Raw genomic sequence first — 23,953 nt, forward strand, 5'->3', positions numbered from 1 at the left:
TCCTGCTTTAACATGCAAAAATTAGTTTCTTTTTACTGCTCTACTGAATTAGGAGAATTTTGTGGTTCCTATACCTCTTTTTAGGGTTGATTTTTTCCTTTTGGTGGAGTACCTCCTCAAGTAAATTTTTCAAAGGGAGTTCACAGAAGGTTTGGAGAGTATTTGCATAGTCCATTACATATCAACAAATTAGTTTTTTCTCCTTCATCCCAGTATGATATTATTTTCTTTCTTCAGATTGTACACTTTTTATAAGAAGGAACTGTAAATAAGATAGACGTGACCCAAAAATAAGATAAATGCACATTTATAGGTCAACCTGTAAGTAAAATATGCTTATAAAAAGATAAGGTAAGTCACCATAGTGCTTGCAGAAAAAAAAAAAAAAAAAGATAAGGGTTGGCCAATGTTCCATTTGCTTGTTTAGGACCTCAACTTGGTCAGGAACTTTGTATTTTTCTGGCTTAGAGATGGTCTTTTCCTTATTAACATACAAAGACAAGTTAGGATAGGATGGAAGGTATTCCTTATTTTTCCCCTCTGAAACAAACATACACATATACACATACAAATCAGAAAGAAGAACCAATAGGGCACATTACATATGTGGCAAGGGGCTGTTTTGTAATTTTTTAAATATATATTTTCTTCTTAGGATCCTAGCTCCTTGTAAGTGTCATCACTTTTTTATATAGTATTTATGAGTAAAGTGGCAAATTCTGCCCATAAGAGTAGGGGCCTGAGCAAATATCCATCATTGAAGCTTCTTTTGTCCGCATTTTAAATGAAAAACCCTGAAGTCTCTCTGAAAATATCATCCAACAACTGTACTCAGTTCTGGTTTAACTCTGCTGTATATCCACCATCTCTTCTTTCTGAATTTCTTCAAGAGATCTTCTAGACCTTGTTAATTCAATGAGTGCTGTATTCTGTAGGGGTATTTATCTTCTTAAGGACTTACTGTACTTCATAAACCAAAGATCCTGGTTAGGTTTTAGAAACATGACTTTTTCTTTTAAAAAAATACCCTAGAATGACCAATGAAATATCAAAATACTTATTGGTACATTTGATCTAATATTATTGTTCAATAGTTATGCTTATAAAAATTAAAGCACTTTAAAAAGTTCCAAATGTTAGAGAAAACAAGTGTTTCATTGTCCATGTACTCAATGCCTCCTTGATTGTCATCTATTCTTTTAGCAAATATTTATTGAGTATTTATTATCCACTAAGCAATGTCATTGTCATAGGGATATAACAATAAGCAAGAAAGATCAGGCCGGGTGTGCTGGCTCACGCCCGTAATCCCAGCACTTTGAGAGACTGAGGTGGGTGGATCACCTGAGGTCAGGAGTTCGAGACCAGCCTGGCCAACATGGTGAAACCCCATCTCTACTAAAAATACAAAACTTAGCTGGGCGTGGTGGCACGCACCTATGGTTCCAGCTACTCAGGAGGCCAAGGCAGGAGAATCGCTTGAATTTTGGAGGCAGAGGTTGCAGTGAGCTGAGATCACACCACTGCACCCCAGCCCGGGTGACATAGCGAGACTCCATCTAAGAAAAAAAAAAAAAAGAAATATCAAACCCTTGCCTTCATGGAGCTTATAACTTACTAAGGGGACACAGACAAGTAAACAAGCAATTGTTAATTCTATTGCTAGCTTATTGATATTTTAAATTATATTCCATTTATTTTAATTGCTTTTCTTAATTAAATGTTTTAATTCTCCTGGTGGAGGGATAAAAGAAGAATTTGATAATGCAATGATAAAATATTGCATAAGACCAGGTGCAGTGGTTCACGCCTATAATCCTAACATTTTGGGAGGCCGAAGTGGGTGGATCACTTGAGGCCAGGAGTTCAAGACCAGCCTGGCCAACATGGTGAAACCCTGTCTCTACTAAAAATACAAAAATTAGCTGGGTATGGTGGTGAGTGCCTGTAATCCCAGCTACTTAGGTGGCTGAGGAACAAGAATTGCTTGAACCCAGGAGGTGGAGGTTGCAGTGAGCTGTGATCGTGCCACTGCACTCCAACGTGGGTGACAGAGCAAGACTCTGTCTCAAAAATAATAAAAAAATAAAAAAAGTAGTCTATCTAATGAAAAAATAATAGTTCCAACTATAACTTGTACTGTTCTGAAAATAAGCCTAATTCTAAATTCACCATCAGTTTGAACAGAAATCGTGTCTATTTTTATGGAAGACGAGAAACAGTTCCTATTCACGACCGCAGTGCTACTGGCAAGTGTTTTCGTTTATTTGATGGAATGTCCCAGACTCCTTCAGTAACAGCTTGCTCCCTTGTTCCAAACATCAAAATTAAAGCATGAGTAGGGGCCAGGTGCAGTGACTCACACCTGTAATCTCAATGTTTTGAAAGGCCAAGGTGGGAGGATTTGCTTGAGGCTAGAAATTTGAGGTTATGGTGAACACATTGCATTGCATACATATTGCGCCATTGCATTTCAGCCTGGGCCACAGAGGAAGACCCTGTCTCTGAAAACAACAACAAAAATCAAAGTATGGTAGGACTCATAACAACAGATTTCATTTTTCCCATTTCCATGATACATTTTGGTAACCTCAATAGCTATACCAGGATTGGTAAAATCACAATATTGATAAAGATGGGCTAAAATTTTCCAACCCAGTCGGAGATATTCATAGCTTCCCCTGCTACCCCAACTCGCACTCCACAAAAGCAACCCAACAAAAGATGACCGTTGTCTTCAGGAATTCTTGCAGGCTTTCCCAGATTAATTCACTTCATCTACCTAGTTCCTTGGCTAACCTCCTATCCGCTCTCCTCAACTCAATTCTAAACTTTCCCTTACTTACAAAGCTTTCCCTTATCCAGGACTCAAATCTTGGCTTCCTTTGGCTGATCACCCACAGTTCCTGGGCAGGCACTCCCAATCCTCTACCCAGGTCTGGATCCTGAAAACCCAACTGGAGTCAAAATCATGATCTCCCTGTTCACTTAATTGGACCACAAAAAAATTTTACATCATGATAATATGACTGAGGAAAGAGTACTGCATAGTCCTTTATAATTACTATTAATAAATAACTTTGCAGGGTGCGGGGGGGCTTCAGATTATTTTAGTGCTTTGGGCTGCAGGGGCATAATGATAGGGAATGTAGAAAAGCCCAGGACCCATACTTTGAGGTTGCAAAATCTGGATGAGAAACAGGGTAAACCTTTTAGGGTAAGGATGAAATGGTAAGCACATACACACTCTTTTGTCAACTCCTAGACCTTGTTATGTAGAAATTGTTTGGGTGATAATTGGATCATGAAATGTTTCAAAAAGCTATTTTAGGACAGGAGCCAAAGTGTAGGACAAATGCTGCTTCTTCCGAAGGTTGAAATCAAACCAGGGGGCTGCAGAGAATAATGCTGCATTTCAATTTTCCCCATCCATTTTAAATTCGACAACACATTGACCCAGGAAAAACACTGAAAAGAGCACAAGGTTAGGTATTTATTTAGTTTAGGTAGACACGGTTATCTTTACACAGATTGAGAATTGTCAGATTCATTGTAGGGAATAAAGTGTAGTCAAATTCACAAGGCAGGATGATTTTTCACCCATGAGAGAGCCCAATGGGAATGCCTACATTAAAGGCTTGAGTAAGTGAAACAGGGTTCTGCAAAAGAAATTGAGAAGAAGATGAAAAAGTGGGAGACTGCAGTGTCATAGACATCAAGAGAAAGGGGTCTGAAGACGGAGGGAGAGAGATTCATAAGTGTCCTCTGGACTTACACATTGGAAGATGATTGGTAAGATGTTTGCATATGGTAGTTTTCAGAGTATTTATGCAAGACATAGAATAAACAGGCTTCTGATTGTGGAATAGGAAAATATGGAGCCTATAAAATGTTCTGTACACTGCGATACTCCTCACCTGTGAAGACAGTTATTTTTCAGGATTGGTGGTAATAGTGCCCTTCTTGGTCCACACTTCTTTCCTAGAAAATGAATTCAGAAGATGGTTTGCTGGGATTAGGGATTCATTAAGCATTCATTAAGCATCCACAGCTTTTCTGTCACTGGAGACAACTAGTCTTGTGGTCACCATCAAATATCTGATCTTTTCCTTTTTGTCAATTACATGTTGATAGTACCTTAAGTCACTTGAGCCCTAAATATTAAAATAGCAACAGTATTAAAATCTCAGAAATCTTTTTATTATTCATGAATGTTTCATGTTTAACATTTTAAAAATTACGTAAGTTTTTATTGACTTTTCCTAGATAGAATTTGAAAAGATAAATTTATTTTCTCTTCTCATAGTATATGATGAATAGATAATTGAAAAGAGATCCTCCAGAAAGAGCAGAAGGAAGTTTCTTCAATGGTAAGGTTTCAAATTATATTGCGTGAATTTTCTGCATGCCATTTTCTCCGTTCTATTAAGCCACTTTTCAGGAATATAATTAGAATTATTAAGAAAGAAAATGGAAATCAAATCTGTAAAATGTAGGCAGATTTTCAATGCCCAAAACATGTAATAGAAGGCAGCAGAAGGCCAAGCACAGTAGCTGATCTCTGTAATCCCAGCACTCTGGAAGGCGGAAGAGGGAGGATCACCTGAGGCCAGGAGTTCGAGACTAGCCCGGACAATATAGCGAGATTCCATGTCTACAAAAAAATTTAAAAATTAGCCAGTGTGGTGCCTCACACCTGCAGTCCTAACAACTTGGTAGGCCAAGGTGAGATCACTTAAGCTCAGTTCAAGACCAGCCTGGGCAACATAGCAAGACCCCATCACTACAAACAATAAAAAATTAGCTGGGCATGGTTGCATGTGCCTGTAGTCCCAGCTCCTCAGGAGGCTGAGGTGGGAGGATTGCTTGAGCTCAAGAGTTGGAGGCTGTAGTGAGTTATGATTGCGCTACTGCATTTCAGCCTGGGTGACGACAAAGAGACCCCCATCAATCCTCCCCTCTGCCCAACCCCTACCATTAAAAGGGAAGGCAGCAGAAAGTGGAGATATAACAGTTCAGGCTGCCTTTGTTGAAATCTGGGCTATCCATTTACTAAGTATGCCACGTTAGACAACTAACTTAATCTGTTTGTGCCTTAGTTCCTAATTTGTTAATATTACCTAAAAACAGTGACTAAATTATTGTTTTGGTGACTTTGAGGACAAAATGAGATTTTACAGCTAAAATTTCTAGAACTACCCCGACACTCAGTAAGTTCTTAATAAGTGTCACTTGTTACTACTGTAATCACAGAATCTCAACACTGAAGGCACTTAAAGTTCATCCTACCCAACACCTCTTCCAGTGCTGGAATCCTCTTATCAACATCTATGGCATGTCAAATGATGGACAGCTAGGGACTATCCTTTGGATTACAACATAGTTACAAATTTGGCTTTGTGTGTGTATGTGTGTGTGTGCACATTTGCCTTTCAGCAAGGTTAAACATACAGGCATACTTTCACTGCCACCTCCTACATCCACCTGCACAGAAAGGAGGTCTCTAGCTAGAGGCACATTCCATAATTCTATGGCTTCTGAAGGAGTCAGTGCAGGTTAATAGGAGGGAGAGGGAGGAGAATGCAAGTCCTTCCAGAAGCCTACAGAGCCTCCTGGAGAATCTCTAGGGAAGAGACAATATGTATCAGTTTTAAAGTTTAGTAGAGTGACCATGTATCTTCCAAACTGGGCCCATTTTAAGAGTGAAAGGGCCACTATTAAGAATTATGCTAGGAGAGCAGGTGAAAACCAAGGGTGCCCTAGGCAAACAACAGCAAGAAATGATGGTTAACACCCAATGTTGCAAGGGAAATGTGCACATTTATTTGTTGTTGTTGGGATTTGGCATTTATAGAAACTTTTTAGAAGGCAATCTCTCAGTATCTATTAAAATTTGGGGTTGGGGGGGAGTACTCTTTGACCTGGTAATTCCATTATTCGAGATTTTCCCCACTGACATAAATGATCCTCTTAATGTGATGCTGAATTCAGTTTACTGGTATTTTGTGAAGAATTTTGCACCTATATTCATCAGGGATATTAGCCCGCAATTTTCTTTTCTCATAGTGTCTTTGTCTGGCTTGGGTTTCAGGATAGTACTGGCCTCATTAAATGCATTGAGAAGGATTCCCTTTTCAGTTTTTGAGAAGAGTTGAGAAGGATTGGTATTAGTTATTTAAATGGTAGAATTCAGCAGTGAAGCCATGAGATTTTGGGGTTTTCTTTTATGGGAGACCATTTATTACTGATTCAATCTTGTTACTCATTATTTGTCTGTTCAGATTTTCTATTTCTTAAGAATTCAATCTGGGTGTGTTGTATTTGTCTAGGAATGTATTCATTTCTTCTAGGCTATCCCATTTGTTGGTGTATAATTCTTCACAGTATCTCGTAATCTTTCATATTTCTGTGGTATCAGTTGTAATGTCTTCTCTTTCATTTCTGATTTTATTTAAGTCTCTCTCTTTTTTTGTAGTCTATCTAAAGGGCTGACCATTTTGTTTATCTTTTCAAAACACCAACCATTAGTTTTGTTAATTTTTTATTTTAATTTTAATTTTTTAACTCTTCTTACTATAATAGTATAACTTTCAGTTTTGTTGATTCTTTCTATTGTTTTTCTAGTGTCTATCTTATTTCTGCCCTGATCTTTATTATTTCCTTCCTTCTATTACCTTTGGGCATAGTTTGTTCTTTTTCTAGTCCTTTGATGTGTAACATAAGGTTATTAATTTGAGATCTTTCTTTTTTTATGTAGGCATGATTGTTATTAACTTCCCTCTAAGAATTACTTTTGCTGCATCCCATAAATTTTAGTATATTGTGTTTTAATTTTCATTTGTCTCAATATACTTTTTGCTTTCCATTTGTTTTCTTTTTTGACCCCGTGGTTGTTCAGAGAATGTCGTTTAATTTCCATGTTTTGGTGAATTTTCCAAATTTCTTCTTGTTATTGATTTCTAGTTTCATATCATCACGGTCAGAAAAGATACCTGATATGATTTAAATCTTCTTACATTTGTAAAAACTTGTTTTGTGGCCTAACATATGGTCTACGTTAGTGTTCCATGTGTGCTGAAGAAGAATGTCAGTCAGGTGCAGTGGCTCACATCTGTAATCCCAACACTTTGGGAGGTCAAGGCAGGAAGATTGCTTAAGGCCAGGAGTTTGAAACCAGCCTGGTCAACAGAGCAAGATCTCATCTCTACAAAAGAAAAGTTAAGGCCGGGCGCAGTGGCTCATGCCTGTAATCCCAACACTTTGGGAAGCCGAGGCAGGCGGATCACGAGGTCAGGAGATCGAGACCATCCTGGCTAACATGGTGAAACCCCGTCTCTACTAAAAGTACAAAAAATTAGCCGGGCGTGGCGGCGGGCGCCTGTAGTCCCAGCTACTCGGGAGGCTGAGGAGGGAGAATGGCGTGAACCCGGGAGGCGGAGCTTGCAGTGAACCGAGATCGCGCCACTGCACTCCAGCCTGGGCGACAGAGCGAGAATCCGTCTCAAAAAAAAAAAAAAAAAAAAAAGTTAAAAAGTTAGCCAGGCTACTAGGAAGGGTGGGGCAGGAGGAGCCCTTGAGCCCAGGAGGTTGAGGCTGCAGTGAGCCGTGATCATACCACTGTACTCCAGCCTGAGCGACAGAGAAAGACCCTGTATAAAAAAAAAAAAAAAAAAAAAAAAAAAAAGAAGAAGAAGAAGAAGAAGCCGAAGTATATGTATTCTGTTGCCATTGGATAGAACCCTGTGGATATGTCTGTTATGTCCATTTGTCCAAAGTGTAGTTCAAGTCTTATGTCTCCTTGTTGATCTTTTTGTCTGGATGTTATGTCCATTGTTGAGAGTGGGTTATTGAAGTCCCCTACTATTACTGCATTATTGCCTGTCTCTTCCTTCAGATCTATTAATATTCATATATTTTGTTGAGTGCATGTATATTTATAATTGTTATATCCTCTTGATGAATGAACCCCCCCTTTTTTTTTTTGAGATGGAGTCTCGCTCTGTTGCCCAGACTAGAGTGCAGTGGCACGATCTCGGCTCACTGCAAGCTTTGCCTCCCCGGCTCACGCCATTCTCCTGCCTCAGCCTCCCGAGTAGCTGGGACTACAGGCGCCCGCCACCACGCCTGGCTAATTTTTTGTATTTTTAGTAGAGACGGGGTTTCACTGTGTTAGCCAGGATGGTCTCGATCTCCTGACCTCATGAGAATCCCTTTATTACTATATTATAACCATAAAATGGTAGCAGTAGGTTCTTACCTGTCAATAATCACCTTGAATGTAAATAGGTTAAATTCTCCAATGAAATAAAGGGGCTGAATGGATTAAAAAATAAGATCCAACTATATGCTGCCTGTAGGAGACTCTCTTCACCATCTTTAAGGACACACATAAACTGAGAGTGAAGAGATGGAAGAAGATATTCAACACAAATTGAAACCAAAAGAGAGCAGGGGTAGCTATACTTATATCAAACAAAATAGACTTTAAGTCCAAAACTATAAAAAGAGACAAAGAACGTCATTATATAATGAAAACTACACCAACACAATTTATTGTGAAAGCCTTTTTTACACCAGTGATATAAGATGAAACTTTTTTCATAAATTTCCATTCACATTTGAGTATATTTTTGTGCATCTGTTCACTGCTATTGATCTATCTGGATAATAGTTTCCTAATACCATAATGTTTTAATTGTGGAGGATATATAAGCTATTTTAATATCTGGTAATGGTATTTAACTTCTCTCCACCTCTTATTACTCTTTCTGTTTCCTTTTAAAAATTTTTTTTTAATTTTCTTTTCTTTGAGACAGGGTCTCGCTCTGTCAGCCAGGCTGGGGTGCAGTGGCATGATCATGGCTCACTGCAGCCTCCACCTCCTGGGCTCAATTGATCCTCTGGCCTAAGCCTCTCAAGTATCCAAGCCTACAGATGCTCACTACCATGCCTGGCTAACTTTTGTGATTTTTGTAGAGATGGGATTTCACTATATTGCCCAGGCTGGTCTCGAACCCCTGGGCTCAAGCAATCCACCCACCTCAGCGTCCCAAAGTGCTGGAATTACAGGCATGAGCCACTGCACATGGCCCTTTTTAACAATTTTTAAGTTTAAGCAGAATAAAGATGAGTTATTTATTTTAACTTGTGCCAATGCTAGGAATTTCACAAAATTAAATATTTGGCTCTGGAAAAGATAATGAGTCTAGAGTTTGCAGAAGTACTGCATGCAACGGAAATTCACAAATCTATTATAGTTTTGTTTGATTTGTTTCATCTTAGTTTCCTTTCTCCTCTTTCTTTCTCTTTTAATTTGTTGTCTTCCTATGTGTCCTTGTTTTCCAACTTTTGTACCAGAACATTTCATTTTAAATCAAGATGCTATTGTAGGGGGACAATGTAACTGCAGAACAGCATTCACTCTACAGTTGGCCATATAATAATCATATAAAGACTTTTAAATGCATAATGTAAAAAGGTACAATTTTAAATGCTTTTTGATCAGTGTTCTTTATTTTTTTATTATTATTTTTATTTTTTTGAGACAGAGTCTTGCTCTGTTGCTGAGGCTGGAGTGCAATGGCCTGATCTTGGCTCACTGCAACTTCTGCCTCCCGGGTTCAAGCGATTCTCCTGCCTCAGGCTCCAGAGTAGCTGGAACTACAGGCGCATGCAAGCATGCCTGGCTAATTTTTGTGTTTTTAGTAGAAACGGGTTTCATCATGTTGGCCAGGCTGGTCTTGAACTCCTCACCTCAAGTGATCCGCATGCCTCAGCCTCCCAAAATGCTGGGATTATAGGCATGAGCCACTGCACCTGGCCAGTGTTCTTTTAAAAATAAAACTGTAAAACATTAAAAACAATTAGTCCTCACCGGGTGCAGTGGCTCAGGCCTATAATCCCAGCACTTTGGAAGGCCAAGGGGGGCAGATCACTTGAGATCAGGAGTTCAAGACTAGCCTGGGCAACATGGTGAAACCCCATCTCTATTAAAAGTCAAAAAATTAGCCGGACTTGGTGGTGTGCACCTGTAGTCCCAGCTACTTGGAGGCTGAGATGGGAGGATCACCTGAGCCTGGGGAGGTCGAGGCTGTGGTGAGCTAAGATTGTGCCGCTGCACTCCAGCCTGGGCAACAGAGGGAGACTCTGTCTCAGAAACAAACAAACAAAACAAACAATTCATCCTGATAATCCAAAACTACCTTCTATAAGGGAATATTTTGAAAGGTTAGAATAAGGCATTGAAACACACTAACACAAATTATAAATTTAAAGAATAGATGGTTAACTCTATCATGAGAAAAAGAATTGATTCAGGAATGTGAGGAAACAAGACAGTGAGGAGGAAGGAATAAAGAGCTAGAAAGACTGGGTTTGGGGGAGAATGGGATGAGAGAAAGAGTTTAAAGAGAACAGCTGTCTTAAGTTGGGATCCCCAAGAACTAGGCTCCAACGCAGAGACTTGCCTGCAGGAGTTAACTGGGGAATTCCCTCAGGAGTAACACATGTAAGGGTCAGAGAGAAGCAGACTTGGGTAGAAGGAACAGTTAAAGTGTCATGTAGTCACAAGGGAGGCCTCAGTCAATCTTATGGGGCACTCTGGAACTGGGATTTCCTTTTAGAATTGTCCCAAATTATGGCCCAAATCCCAATATCAACCATCATTAGATGTGGGAGGCCCTCCAAAAGGAGATTTAACCTTAAGTGAGGTGGCTGGCTGCATTGGCTAGGGCAATTTCCAAAGAGGGCCTGGTGTCTGGAGGTATGAGCACCTTGTTCCTGAAAGGAATATCTGTGCAGCACACCATAGCATCCACCACAACATCTGTCATTGATTTAGGGGAATATTGAGAGTAATGATTCTGGGAAGATAGGGTTTAGAAATGTTCAATTATTCATTAAGAGCATACTCCTCCTTTACTTCGTTAGCATTTTCTTTAGACCCTAAGTAAACATTTAAATTTATTTCAATTATATATTTTCATTGTTTTTGAATTGATTTTACCTTGGATTGACCCAAAGCAGAGATTGGGCCACATATGACCACTTTTAAATTCAGGTTAAGCGAATTTTGGAATGAAATTAACTGTGATAGTAACTGAAAAAGGAAAGATATGTAAACATAATATTTACTAGAAAAAGGAGATACAGGCAGGTTTGGTTCCAGAATGCTGCAATACAGCAAATATCACATTAAAGCCAGTCACACATTATTTTTTTGTTTTCCAGTGCATATAAAAATTATGTTTACGCTATACTGTAGTCTATTAAGTGTACAATAGTATTATGTCTAAAAAACAACATACATACCTTTATTAAAATACATGGCCAGACATAGTAGCTTACACCTGTAATCCCAGAACTTTTGGAAGCGAGGTGAGAGGGTCACTTGAGACCAGGAATTTGAGACCAGCCTGTGCAACATAGTGAGACCTCATTTCTACAGAAACATTTAAAAAATTAGCCAGACATGGTGGTGTGCACCTGTGGTACTAGCTACTTGGGAGGCTGGGGTGAGAGGATCACTTGAGCCCAGGAGTTTGAGGCTGCAGTGAGCTCTGATCCTCCACAGCACTACAGCCTGGGTATCAGAGTGAGACCTTGTCTCAAGAAACCCCCACAAAACTTTACTGTTAAAAATTGCTAACAATCATCTGAACATTTAGAAAGTCACAACATTTTTTCTAGTGAGGGTCTTCCGTTGGTGTTGATGGTTGCAGCCTGATCAGGGTGGTGGTTGCTGAAGTTTGGGTTTGCTGTGGCAATGAGGTTTGCCACATGATTCGTTCTTCCTTTCATTAAAGATTTCTTTGCAGCATGTGATGCTGTTTGATAGCATTTTACCCACAGTAAAACTTCTTTCAAAATTGTAATCAATTCTCTCACACCATGATGTTGGTTTATCAATTACATTTATGTAATATTCTAAACCCTTTGTAGTCATTTCAACAATGTTCACAGCATCTTCACCAGGAGTAGTTTCCATTTCAAGAAACTACTTTCTTTGCTCATCCATAACAAGTGGCTCCTCATCCATTCAAGTTTTATCATGTGATTGCAGCAATTCAGTCACATCTTCAGGCTCCACTTCAAATTCTAATCTCTTGCTATTTCCACCACATCTGCAGTGACTTCTTCCAGTGAAGTCCTTCTCCCCAAGTGATTCTCCCACCTCAAATGATCCTCAAGTGATCCTCCCACCACAGCTTCCCAAGTAGCTGGGATTATAGGCATGTGCCACCACATCAGTCTTCACTGAAGTCTTGAACCTTTTCAAAGTCATCCATTAGAGTTGGAATATACTTCTTCCAAACTCCTGTTAATGTTGATATTTTGACATCCTCCCATGAATCATGAATGTCTTTAATGGCATCTATAATGGTGGATTCTTTCCAGAAGGTTTTCAATTTACTTTACCCAGATCCATCAGAGGAATCACTATTTATGACAACTATAGCCTTAGGAAATGTATTTCTTAAATAAGACTTGAAAGTGAAAATGACTTCTTCATTCATGGGCTGCAGAATGGATGTTGTCTTAGCAGGCACGAAAACATTATTAATCTTTGTGTACATCTCCATCAGAACTCTCGAGTGACCAGGCGCATTGTCAATGAGCATTAACATTTTGAAAGGAATCTTTTTTCTGAGGAGTAAGCCTCAACAGTGGGCTTAATATATTCAGTGAGCCATTCTGTAAACAGATGTGCTATCATCTAGGCTTTGGCATTCCATTTATAGAGTGCGGGCAAGTAGATTTAGCATAATTCTTAAGTGTCCTTAGATTTTTGGAATAGTAAGTGAGCACTGGCTTCAACTTAAAGTCATGAGTTCCATTAACCCCTAACAAGAAAATCAGCCTGTCCTTTTGAAGTTTTGAAGCCAGGCATTGACTTTTTCCTTTCTGGCCATGATAGCCCTGGATGGCATCTTTTTCCAACAGAAGGGTGCTTTGTTTATATTGAGAATCTATTTTTTAGTGTAGCCACCTTCATCAATGATCTTAGGTAGATCTTCTGGATAACTTGCTAAGGCTTCTACATTAGCACCTGCTGCTTCGCCTTGCACTTTTTTATTATGGAGATGGCTTCTTTCCTTCAACTTCATGAACCAGTCTCTGCTAGATTCCAATGTTTCTTCTGCAGCTTCCTTACCTCTCTCAGCCTTCATAGAATTGAAGAGAGTTAGGGCCTTGTCTGTGTTAGACTTTGACTTAAAGGAATTTTGTGGCTGGTTTGATCTCCCATCCAGACTACTAAAATTTTTTCCATATCAGCAATAAGGCTATTTTGCTCTTTCATCATTTTTGGGTTCACTGGAATAGCAGTTTTAATTTCCTTCAAGGATTTCTTCCTTTGCATTTACAGTTTGGCTGTTTGGCACAAGAGGCCCAGCTTTCAGCCTGTCTTGGCTTTTGGCATGCCTTCCTCACTAAGTTTAATCATTTCTAGCTTTTGATTGAAAGTGAGAGATGTGCAACTCTTCCTTTCACTTGAACACTTAGAGGTCATTGTCAGGTTATTAACTGGCCTCATTTCAATATTGCTGTGTCTCACTGAAGAGGGAGGCCTGAGAAGAGAAAGATTGGGGAACGGCCAGTCAGTGGAGCAGTCAGAACACATACAACATGTATTGATTAAGTCCACTGTCTCTTATGGGTGCAGTTTGTGGCACCCCCATAACAATTACAATAGTAACATCAAAGATCATCATCATGGATCACCATAACAGATATAACAATAATGAACAACTTTGAAATATTGTGAGGATTACCAAAATGTGATAGAGACACAGAGTGAGCACATACTATTGGAAAAATGGTGCCGACACATTTGCCTGACACCAAGTTGCCATAAACCTTAAATCTGTAGAAAGCACAATATTTGTGAGGTACGCTAAATTGAAGTGCAATAAAATAAGATATGCCTATAATTGAAAAATGGGATGGTTTGGTGAAGTAGAAAAAAAGCACATCTGCTGGGCATGGTGGCTCAAACCTGTAATCCCAGCATTTTGGGAGGCTGGAGCAGGTGGATCACGAGGTCAGGAGTTCAAGAGCAACCTGGCCAAGATGGTGAAACCCTATTTGTACTAAAAATACAAAATAATTAGCTGGGCATGGTGGTGGGTGCCTGTAATCTCAGCTACTCAGGAGGCTGAGGCAGAGAATTGCTTGAACCTGGGAAGCAGAGGTTGCAGTGAGCCAAGATCACGCCACTGCACTCCAGCCCGGGCGACAGAGTGAGACTCCATGTCAAGAGAAAAAAAAAAAGCACATCTAATGGGACAGAGTGGGATAGAGTAGAAGGTTGTATCAGAGAGCGTAATTTTCACCTAGAACAGTAAGAGATAAGTTTAAATCAAGGATTGGCAAACTTTCTTTATAAAGGTCCAGGTAGTAAATATTTTAGGCTTTTGGGGCCTTATAATCCCTGTCACAACTACCTTGCTGTTGTGGTGTGAAAACAGCTATAGACCATACATAAATGAATGTATGTGGCTGTGTTTCAATAAATTTTTATTTACAAAAGCATTCAGAGAGCCAGATTTGGTTTGGGAGTCATAGTTTGTGGACCTGTTGGTTTAGATGATCAGAAAGATCACTGAATGGCTTGGAAGGGTCTACCTAACTTGTTTCACTGACTTGCAACAGATTTTTAAAAGATATCAAATAAAACAGCTGAAAGAAGATATAAAGGGAAAGCTGGAATAAAGTAGCCCTATGAAACCCACAACCCCATCACTTTTGTCTCATGGCTGATTATGTGTGCACAACAGTCTTCCTTTTCATGATTTATTAATCTTGTCATGCTTGACATTTATATTCTTACTTCAGAAATACTCAGGGTTGTTTGTTTGTTTGGTAGAAACAACGATTAATCCAACAAACATAAGCCACACTAATAAACCCCACATGGTTTTGCCAAACATATCATAAGACTTAGCTAATCTCATGCTAGCAGCAACCCAAAAGGAAAAGATTTGACTTCTGAAACACATGTGGCAGGGAGAGGGGTCTCTCCAGTTAATCTGTGTGTTTTTGACAAATATTTTACACTCTATACTTCATTATGCACCTATTCAATAAGAACACATTTGATAGTTTTCCAGTTTTGAAATCTATGTGATAACTTTTAACCATATTTGAAAAGGGTATTCGATGCCTTTTCAGAAAAAGGCAATAATATTTTCTACATCCAACTTGCTGCCCAGCCAAATCCACAAACATGGATGTTAGCAGAGAAAGCTATTGTTGGACTGCAGGTGAGATGAGATGATTCTTAACCATCATGATTGTACAACCAATAGGAATTTACTCTGACATTTTGTTTGCTTTTACAATTTGGATGCCCAAATAATTAAAAAGGTAGAATTAAAGAGAAGCCTTTATGTGTCTTGGCTGTCTTTTGGTAAATATATGCTGTTAAATTACATACTAAGCAGGCCAGAGCCTAATGAACAAATTGTGACTCAAAATCATGGAGAAAGACTTAACCTACTGTTTCCTTCTGGTAGGGAAAAGTGTCAGTTAAGAGTGAGTATGAGTGGCAGAATGACAATAGCTTTGTTAACCGCACTGTAGATTAGATGATTGTTGCCTGAAATGTCAGTTCCTGGTTGGCTATAAGAAAATGCCTGTTTCGGCCGGGCGCAGTGGCTCACGCCTGTAATCCCAGCACTTTGGGAGGCCGAGGCGGGTGGATCATGAGGTCAGGAGATCGAGACCATCCTGGCTAACAAGGTGAAACCCCGTCTCTACTAAAAATACAAAAAATTAGCCGGGCGCGGTGGCGGGCGCCTGTAGTCCCAGCTACTCGGGAGGCTGAGGCAGGAGAATGGCTTGAACCCGGGAGGCGAAGCTTGCAGTGAGCCGAGATTCCGCCACTGCAGTCCGCAGTCCGGCCTGGGCGACAGAGCGAGACTCCGTCTCAAAAAAAAAAAAAAAAAAAAAAAAAAAAAAGAAAATGCCTGTTTCTCATTTCACTCACCAGCTTTTCTCCCTTCATTTAAATGGTAATTACACACTTACAATGCACTGCAAGTATCTCTAGTTTTACTGAGTCCTCTGGGAGCTCTAGAAACCCTAGGACTTTCATAATGAGGGATACATTTTTGGAGTTATTTTTTTGCTTGGGAAGATTTTGGTTCTATTAAATTTTTTTTCTATTTTCACTTGCACTTTTTTTTCACTGAAAACCAATACAATTTTTTCCAACTAAATCGGGAGCATTGGTAAAATTGAATAATGACATTCAAGTCATGTAATTTTCAATTACATTTATATCTTAAGTATTTTAATTACCTTGGCAGTTACTGCATACATGCCAGTTTGGTATTGAGTGCCATTTTCTCATAAATAAGTCAGATTAATTTCCATTAATTCTTCCCCCATTTTTTCCCTTTTAAAAATTGTATTCTTAGGCTGGGCTTGGGGACTCACACCTGTAATCCCAGCACTTTGGGAGGCCAACAAGGGAGGACTACTTGAGCTCAGAAGTTCAAAACCAGTCTGAGCAACATGATGAGACCCTGTCTCTACTAAAAAAAATTTTTTTAATTAGCTGGATATGGTAGCATGCACCTATAGTCCTAGCTACTTGAGAGGGTGAGGCAGGAGGATGGCTTGAGCTGGAGAGATGAAGGCTGCAGCAAGCTATGATTATGCCACTGCACTCTAGCCTGGGTGACAGAGTAAGACCCTGTCTCAAAAAAAGTTATATTCTTATTTTATTTTAAAATCTAATGGGTAATTCTAATTCTTCATCTTTCCTTTTTTCCTTCTGCTTTGTGTGCATTGCATTAAGTTCAAGATTCATTTTGGTATTCTGTATCAGTAACTACTTATTTCTCTGGTGTGGTATTTTTTACTGATCTTCTAGAGGTTTCAGGCAAAACTTAATGGTCTGGTGAAATTAACAATGACCAGTACAGAATATGGGTCACTCGATATATTCCTGACCTATTGTTTGTATAAACAATTTTTATTCTTTCAATATCAAGATCACTTTGATGTAAAACTTCATCAAATTCTTGGGAGGACCAGCACTTGTTTTTTGCGAAGTTAGTTATAATAATTAGGCAGTCAATGTATAAAGACAAAAGGTGATCAAAATACAGTGTAGGGATAACATTTTTTTCTGTAAGTGTATGTAGTGATGATTTCTGTGAAAAGCTATCTAAATAAAATAAAACCACGTAAATGAAACCCTGATAATAGTAAGGGCAATGCATTTTTCTCAAGGGACTTCTCCTAAAATGTGACAAGCATTTTTGAGGAGTTAGGGTGGAGTGGGCAGGAGGCTTCTGTAGTTAGGCTCAAAGTTGCATCTGGAGTTTACTAGCTGTGAAACCTAAGGTAAATTGTTTAACATCTCTGAGACTTGATTACCTCATCTGGAATACAGGAAAAATAATAACCATTTTTCAAGGAGGGTTAGGAATAATTTAGGAAAAACTCCTAGAATATAATACATAATCACTAAATGGTGATTCTTGGGCTCTCGGGCAAGGGAAGGAGCCAGGCAAGATAGGGCCATGAAGTAGAAGGAGCTCAATCTCAGGGCCAGAAATATCTTGGATTCTCATCTCTGCCCCAACAGTTTTTCACTGTTTAACACTAAGCAAATTATTTAAATGACTTAAGTATTCCTGTATAAAAGGAAACAATGCTACAAAAGCTGTGTGAGATGTAATTTAAATACCATGTATAAAGCACTTTTTATAGTACCTGACACATAGTAGATGCTCAATAAATGGTTATATTATTACCTATTATGAGCCTATTATGTCACTGTAATTCTAGAGGCGCTGTGAGATCATAAAGAGGAACTTTACAGGGTACCATAAGGCACTTGAGATCTTTCAAGGAAGACAAGCCCTTGAGATAAGTATAAGTTTAGATACTATAAAATATCAGACTGGGCACAATAGCTCACACCTGTAATCCCAGTACTTTGGGAGGCTGAGGTGGGTGGATAGCCTGAGCTCAGGAGTTCAAGATCAGCCTGGACAACATGATGAAACCCTGTCTCTACCAAAAAAATACAAAAAAAATTTAGCCAGGCATGGTGGTGGTGCACGCCTATAGTCCCAGTGACTTGGGGGGCTGAGGTGCAACGATTGCTTCAGCACAAGAAGCAGAGGTTGCAGTGAGCTGAGATTGCGCCACTGCCTCCAGTCTGGGCAACAGTGAGAACTCGTCTCAAAAAAAAAAAAAAAAAGAAAAGAAAAGAAAAAATATTTCTACAGTAAGTTCCATGTTAGGCACCTAAGAGTTGAGTTAAAGCCTAAAGAACTCATGTAGTACATGGAGATCAAATAAGGCTTAATGGAGGTATCATGGTCTCCTACCTGAGCTTCAAGAATGTACAGTTTATCAACAGGCAGATTGGAGCTGCTAGGGGAGGAAATTTTCAGGGGAGGACATTTTCGGGGGAGGAATCAGAATAAACAGTAGACATGAAGGTGAAAAAGTACAGATTATACCTGAGCAATAGTAAATAAATTCTGCTATTCACTTACAGTATAAGGAACAGGTAAGGTGAGAACGTAACAGCTGACACTTTTTGGGCATTTATAATATTCTGGGCACTGTTCTAAGGACTTTACATGTGTTAACTCATTGAAACCTTACAACAATCCCTTGAGGTAAATCCTAATATTAGCCGTACTTTAAGACAAGGAAACTAAGCCTTTATATTGCCTTTATGTGAGATAGACAATGGTGCCACTTACTTTGAGGCTGTAGAAGCCCTGTGCTGAAACGTAGCGTGGTGAATGGTATGTGGACTATGCTTCCACACTCACTCATCCCTCAGCCAGCCTTGTGCCGGGACCCTCAGCCTAGACATGTGTGCGCAGTGGCCCTGCTCAATGTCGCACAGGTGAGGTGAGCAATCTGGCTTCAGAGGCTGAGCTTTCAATCATGACTCTGTGATGAGAAAGGCACTTGGGCCTTATTTGTGGGGAATCTTGAAATCTCCACATAGGGATATGAACTTTATTTTAAAGATGACATGGAAATATAGCCTTTATTTTGAAGGAATGTGAAGGCTTTTTTTTTTTTTTGGAGGGGCGGACAACAGCATAATCAGATTTGTAAGGAAACATACCTTGATGGTGTTATTGGGGGGATGGGGAAGTGGGTTGGGTGGGTGGTTTAAAGAAGGAAAGATTCAGTCAGGAAAACCAGTCAGGAGGAGACTGCTAGGCATTAAATTGAGCACAGATGAGAGCCCAAACAAGGGTGGTAGCACTGGAAACTGGGAAGAAGTGACAGACTTGAATGACATTCAAGTTAGAATTGGCAAGTCCTGGTGATCATTTAGAAGTAGGGAGTGAAAAAGAGTCCCTGGAAGAGACCCCAAAGTCTCCACTGTGGGTGGCTGGAAGATACGGATGCTGTTAATATAAAGGAGGAAAACAGGAGGAAGGGCAAGAAAGTTTTGGTGAGAAGGATGAAGTCTGCATGTTGAATTAGTAGTGATAGCAAGACATGCATGTAGTAACTCCAACCAGAAGCTGGAATTGTGAATCTGGAGCTGGGGATATTTGCGCTAGAGACCTAGTGAGGAAACAGTTTACAAACATGAAGCCAGGGGTGTGGGTGAGAGTGACTGTGGAGTGGACCCTTCAAGATAGCCTTAATATAAAGTGTGGATAGAAGTTGTGATTTCCCGCAAGAAGCTGGAGGCTGGGACTCACAGGGCAAGTGGGCTGGGACACACAGTGCTGAGGTGCAGTATAAGGGTGGTCAGGAGCACCAAATGCAGAGTGCAAGCAAACATTGTTCATATGCATAACCTATTAATATTTGTAAACTACAGTAATGCTTTTAAAATCTTAGGATGTTTCAAGGTACTAAGACGCACTTCACTAAATAATAGGTCCTATAGTAGCTGAAAATAGATTGTAGCTTTCCAAAGTGCCTTGAATTGCAGGATGCATTTTACATACTAAGAGAAGAATCATATACCATAAATGTTTTCTTTTACAAGACAGTGGCTACCTGGGAGCATCATGTAGAGATGTCATCTGAGCAATGAATGTCCAGGCTCAGTGGGAAAGAGCACTGGGATCTGTAGCAATATCTGCCCTGTGTGGAAGGGCGGGGACCACTGTGCCTAAATTGGCTTTCCCTCAATTAAAGGCTTTCCAAGGTACTGTTAAAATTAAATTTCTATGATTGTCAGTGCCTAGTTTATCACACATATTTACATATTATCCGAAAAGAAAAAACAAAAGAAAAAAAAGTGCAAATTGACTCCTTATAATTTTGTGGTAGCACAGCTCTGCAGTAGCCTAGATTTATGAAATGATGCTAAATGTCAGGCTCTCTAGAGTGAATGAATGAAAAAAAATGATATGCCTTCAATAGGATAAATAAGGGAGAATCATGTACACACCTTTAACTCAGCCCTTTCCTAATACGAGCTTTATTTGTGTGTGTGTGTGTGCACGCACATGCATGCATGTATGTTTGCCTGTGTCTATGTGTGTGTCTTTAGTTGTTTGGGACTTTGGATAAATATTCTAATGGAAGTATGGTAGGAATGTGTGAAGAAAATTGAAGGTAATTGCTTCTTACTGAAAGAGGAAGAAAAGTTTTTGAAGTTTCTCCAGTTCAAGAACTTTTATTATAGAAATCCACAGGCAGGCAATGTAAAAAAGCAAATGCTGTGTGAAATTATTCACCGAGGAGATGGTAACCATATCAATAAAGTTTTGGAGGAGACTTTCCACTGTTCTATGTAAATAACTGTGTTGCAGCTTTTGTTTTATGAGTACTCATTATCATAGAAATTTACTGTTTTTAGTCTTGAAAATGTGGTGCTTAAAAACTTGGAAAATACCACTGTAATTAAATATCTATTGGAGTTAACTCTGGAATACCGTAATTTTGTTTTGCAGACATCGGAGCTATAATCTTTTGTATTTCTTCTCTTTACTCTGTTGTCAGAACTTACACCAGTCATCATCTCTGTGACAATACAAGCCCCTTGAGGGCAAGGACAGTATTTTTTTTTTTTGTAATCACTGTGCCATTGGCACCACCTGGTATAGTGTCTGGCCTCTCTTTAGTCTCCTCTAACTTTTCTTCTTCTTGTCCACTGATGTTTTCAAGAGTCAACTTTCATAACCCCTCTTAGGAAAGTGTAAGATATAGTGCCTGCCATCAAAAAACTTAAAATCTAGTTGCTGAGAGGATAGCCCCCAGAAACAGATAATAAACAAGTGTTACTAATAACTTAGAGAACAGATATACTGTAATTTTCACAGTAACTTTTAAACCTTGATTGCATCTTTATTCCCTTTTTAGCCATGGCTGAATTCCTTAGTGATATAGGAAAGGACCTTCACAATTTGGGCTCAAGAGATAGAACAATGGATAATGACCCTGCCATTACTATTTTCTGTGCACAGTTAATATCTCTTTTTCCGTATGGTTGGTCTCACCATTTTCTTTCTGATAAGAGGCGCTTGCACCAATTCCAGGTATTTATTTATAATGTAGTTAAAACTCTTAACTTTTTTTCAAACCTTATTTCCACTGCCATCTCCAAACAATTTTTACTGGTTTTCCTTAAGCAGATGTTGTCTCTTTCCTCTGGAATTGCCAGCTCGCTTTACTTTTCCCTCTCTCCTCATACTCATCTTAAGAGGGAAATTGTGTTTTACTCAATAGAGTATAGAATCCCAGCTCTATCACTTACTGTTTGTGATATCTTGGGCATATTATTAACCTCTCTATGTCTCGGTTTCTTCATCTGTAAAATAGGGATTAAAAATAATTGGTTGTTCACATGGTTGTGGTGATACAATGAGCTAACATATTGCTACAGATCACTGTGTTCCTTCCACTCAGCCTGGGCATTGCTCAGAATACTTCTCTATATGATACTTTGCACATAATAAACACTCAGTAAATAGCAGCTGCAATAGCAGCACCTTATAGTTCTTGACATAGAGTCGTTATACATGTTGACTTGAATAGTAATGATAAGATTGAGTAAGTGATAAGATTATTTTTCTCTGGATCAGATAAGAATAAAGGGAGTCAGAAAAAGATAGCTCCAAGTAGAATGGAGCTGATTAAATAAACATTTATTGAGCTTTTGCCTTGTGCCAGGCATTGGGAATATAAGTTGTACAACACAGGCGATGCTCTCTGCCCTTGTGGAGCTTATATTCCTAGGTGGATACAAAAAAAAGTGAAGAGCAAAGCCAATAATTTAAAATTGTGGCACTGCTGGGAAGAAAAGAAGGGAGTAAAATTAGGGGAAAGAAGGGTGGAGAATGTACTTGCAATAACTAGGAAAGGCCTATTTATTGAAGGAGTAGGGTTTCAGCAAAGACAAAAATAGAATAAGGAGTCAGCTAGAAGACAAGTGGGAGAAGGGACGAACCGGGTGGAGGCTCCAAGGAGAGACAGAGCTTGGGGTGTTAGAGAAACTGGAAGTTCTTTGTGGCTATAGAAATATTCGGGGATAAGATTATGTCAGGATTTATTGGCCATTCTAAAGAGTTGGGGTTGCAGTAGACTGAGAGGTGTGATGTTCAGCTGAGCTTTAGACTATAAAAATGTAGAGAAATATTTGGAAGTAGACATTTGAGATGGAAGAGCAAAGACATGGGGTTGTGACTAACAATAGTGTCAAGGAAGACAAGAAGTAGTCTGTTGAAATGGAGGAGTTGCACTGGGGAATAAGAAAAACAATTGTCTTTTGGACGATATTATTCTACAGAACAGCTGCTGCTTTACAGTAACAGACTTTGACAGGACTTCTTTCTTAGCAGATGAAAAGTTGAACTGATGTGGTGACCTTTTGGAATAGATGGTTTCTTTACTGCCAAGTTGAACCCTTTCTGGGAATATTTGTGTTGAGTGAGCTTTCTAACCTTAGTGCAGGGTGAGTCAATGAGATCCTTCATGAACATTCCCTTTCGTGTTGGCAGAAGGAAATAAATCGTTTATGTTAGTTTGGGTAATTGAAGAAGCTTGTCATTTCCAATTTACTCTGGTGTATGTGGCTAATTTAAGTTGATAATCATTAACCATGTACAGCTTTTCAAGGGATGAATCAGGAGTTGGAAAACATTACATTTCTGTAAAAATTGGTGTAACGGCCTTGAACTTAAGCTTTCTAGTTTGAAGGTGAAACTTGAGAGTTAGCACTGTATTGTATTTCCAATAATGAATGTGTCTTTTTTCTTTCAGGCTTCCTTCAGGATTTTAATCATCCTTACAGCCTCTTTGAGAATGATTGAACTTCCAAATTCCCTGAAGTTAAAATTTTAAATTCTATTAAACATTTTTTCGAGTATTTCATTACTTTTACATTATGACTTGTACAGTAATTTGAGATCATAAGGGTTGAAAAATATCTTCAAATAAGTTTTTATAGTTAAAATTTTTTTGACTTTTCAAAAGTTCTTCTTCCTAGCTCATTTCATAATCTTCAAATGTAGATTCTCTTTGAACATAAAGTGGTATAAATATAGAATGTTCAGGCACCTGACGTATAAATTTACATACGGTTTGAAGATTGGAGGGTATACCCTGTGATAGTGTCTGACATTGTTATTTTCTCGTCAGTGTTACCAGACAGTAAATAAATACTTCAATTCTGCCAGGGGAGGTGGCTCACGCCTGTAATCCCAGCACTTTGGAGGCCGAGGTGGGCAGATCATGTGGTCAGGAGTTTGAAACCAGCCTGGCCAACATTGTGAAACCCTGTCTCTACTAAAAATATAAAAATTAGCTGGGCATGGTGGCACATGCCTGTAATCCCAGCTACTCAGGAGGCTGAGGCAGGAGAATTGCTTGAACCTGGGAGGTGGAGGTTGCAGTGAGCCGAGATTGTGCCACTGCACTCCAGCCTGGGTGACAGAGCAAGACTCCATCTCGGAAAAAAAAAATCAATTATAATTTTGTTTACATGTATTATTACACA

General features: G+C 39.2%; 2 protein-coding genes across 2 annotated transcripts in view; both read left to right on the forward strand.

Moving 5' to 3' along the window:
* The window catches only part of PTTG1IP2 (PTTG1IP family member 2), a 43,759-nt gene extending 20,422 nt beyond the window's left edge, over positions 1-23,337 (forward strand). The window contains exons 5-7 of the mRNA NM_001365443.2: positions 2,179-2,249; positions 4,307-4,370; positions 23,218-23,337. Of these exons, the coding sequence (NP_001352372.1) occupies positions 2,179-2,249; positions 4,307-4,320 (85 nt within the window). The 3' untranslated portion in view covers positions 4,321-4,370; positions 23,218-23,337. The remainder of the gene's footprint in view (positions 1-2,178; positions 2,250-4,306; positions 4,371-23,217) is intronic.
* LOC124901693 (uncharacterized) lies at positions 19,173-23,337 on the forward strand. Its single transcript, XM_047421159.1, has 3 exons — positions 19,173-20,158; positions 21,319-21,494; positions 23,218-23,337. Exons 1-3 carry the CDS (start codon positions 20,041-20,043, stop codon positions 23,296-23,298), a joined length of 375 nt encoding a protein of 124 aa, XP_047277115.1. The 5' UTR covers positions 19,173-20,040; the 3' UTR covers positions 23,299-23,337.
* Positions 23,338-23,953: the final 616 nt, after the last annotated feature.

The sequence above is a fragment of the Homo sapiens genome, chromosome 7 (assembly GCF_000001405.40).
Source record: "Homo sapiens chromosome 7, GRCh38.p14 Primary Assembly".
Classification (NCBI taxonomy): Eukaryota; Metazoa; Chordata; class Mammalia; order Primates; family Hominidae; genus Homo; species Homo sapiens.

Bases quoted from the DNA above. Each gene is read 5' to 3' on its own strand.
- LOC124901693 (XM_047421159.1), top strand. From the start codon at position 20,041: ATGAATGTCCAGGCTCAGTGGGAAAGAGCACTGGGATCTGTAGCAATA. The intron at 20,159-21,318 runs GTACTGTTAAAA...TTCCCTTTTTAG, and splicing joins TCAATTAAAGGCTTTCCAAG to CCATGGCTGAATTCCTTAGT. The intron at 21,495-23,217 runs GTATTTATTTAT...TTTTTCTTTCAG, and splicing joins GGCGCTTGCACCAATTCCAG to GCTTCCTTCAGGATTTTAAT.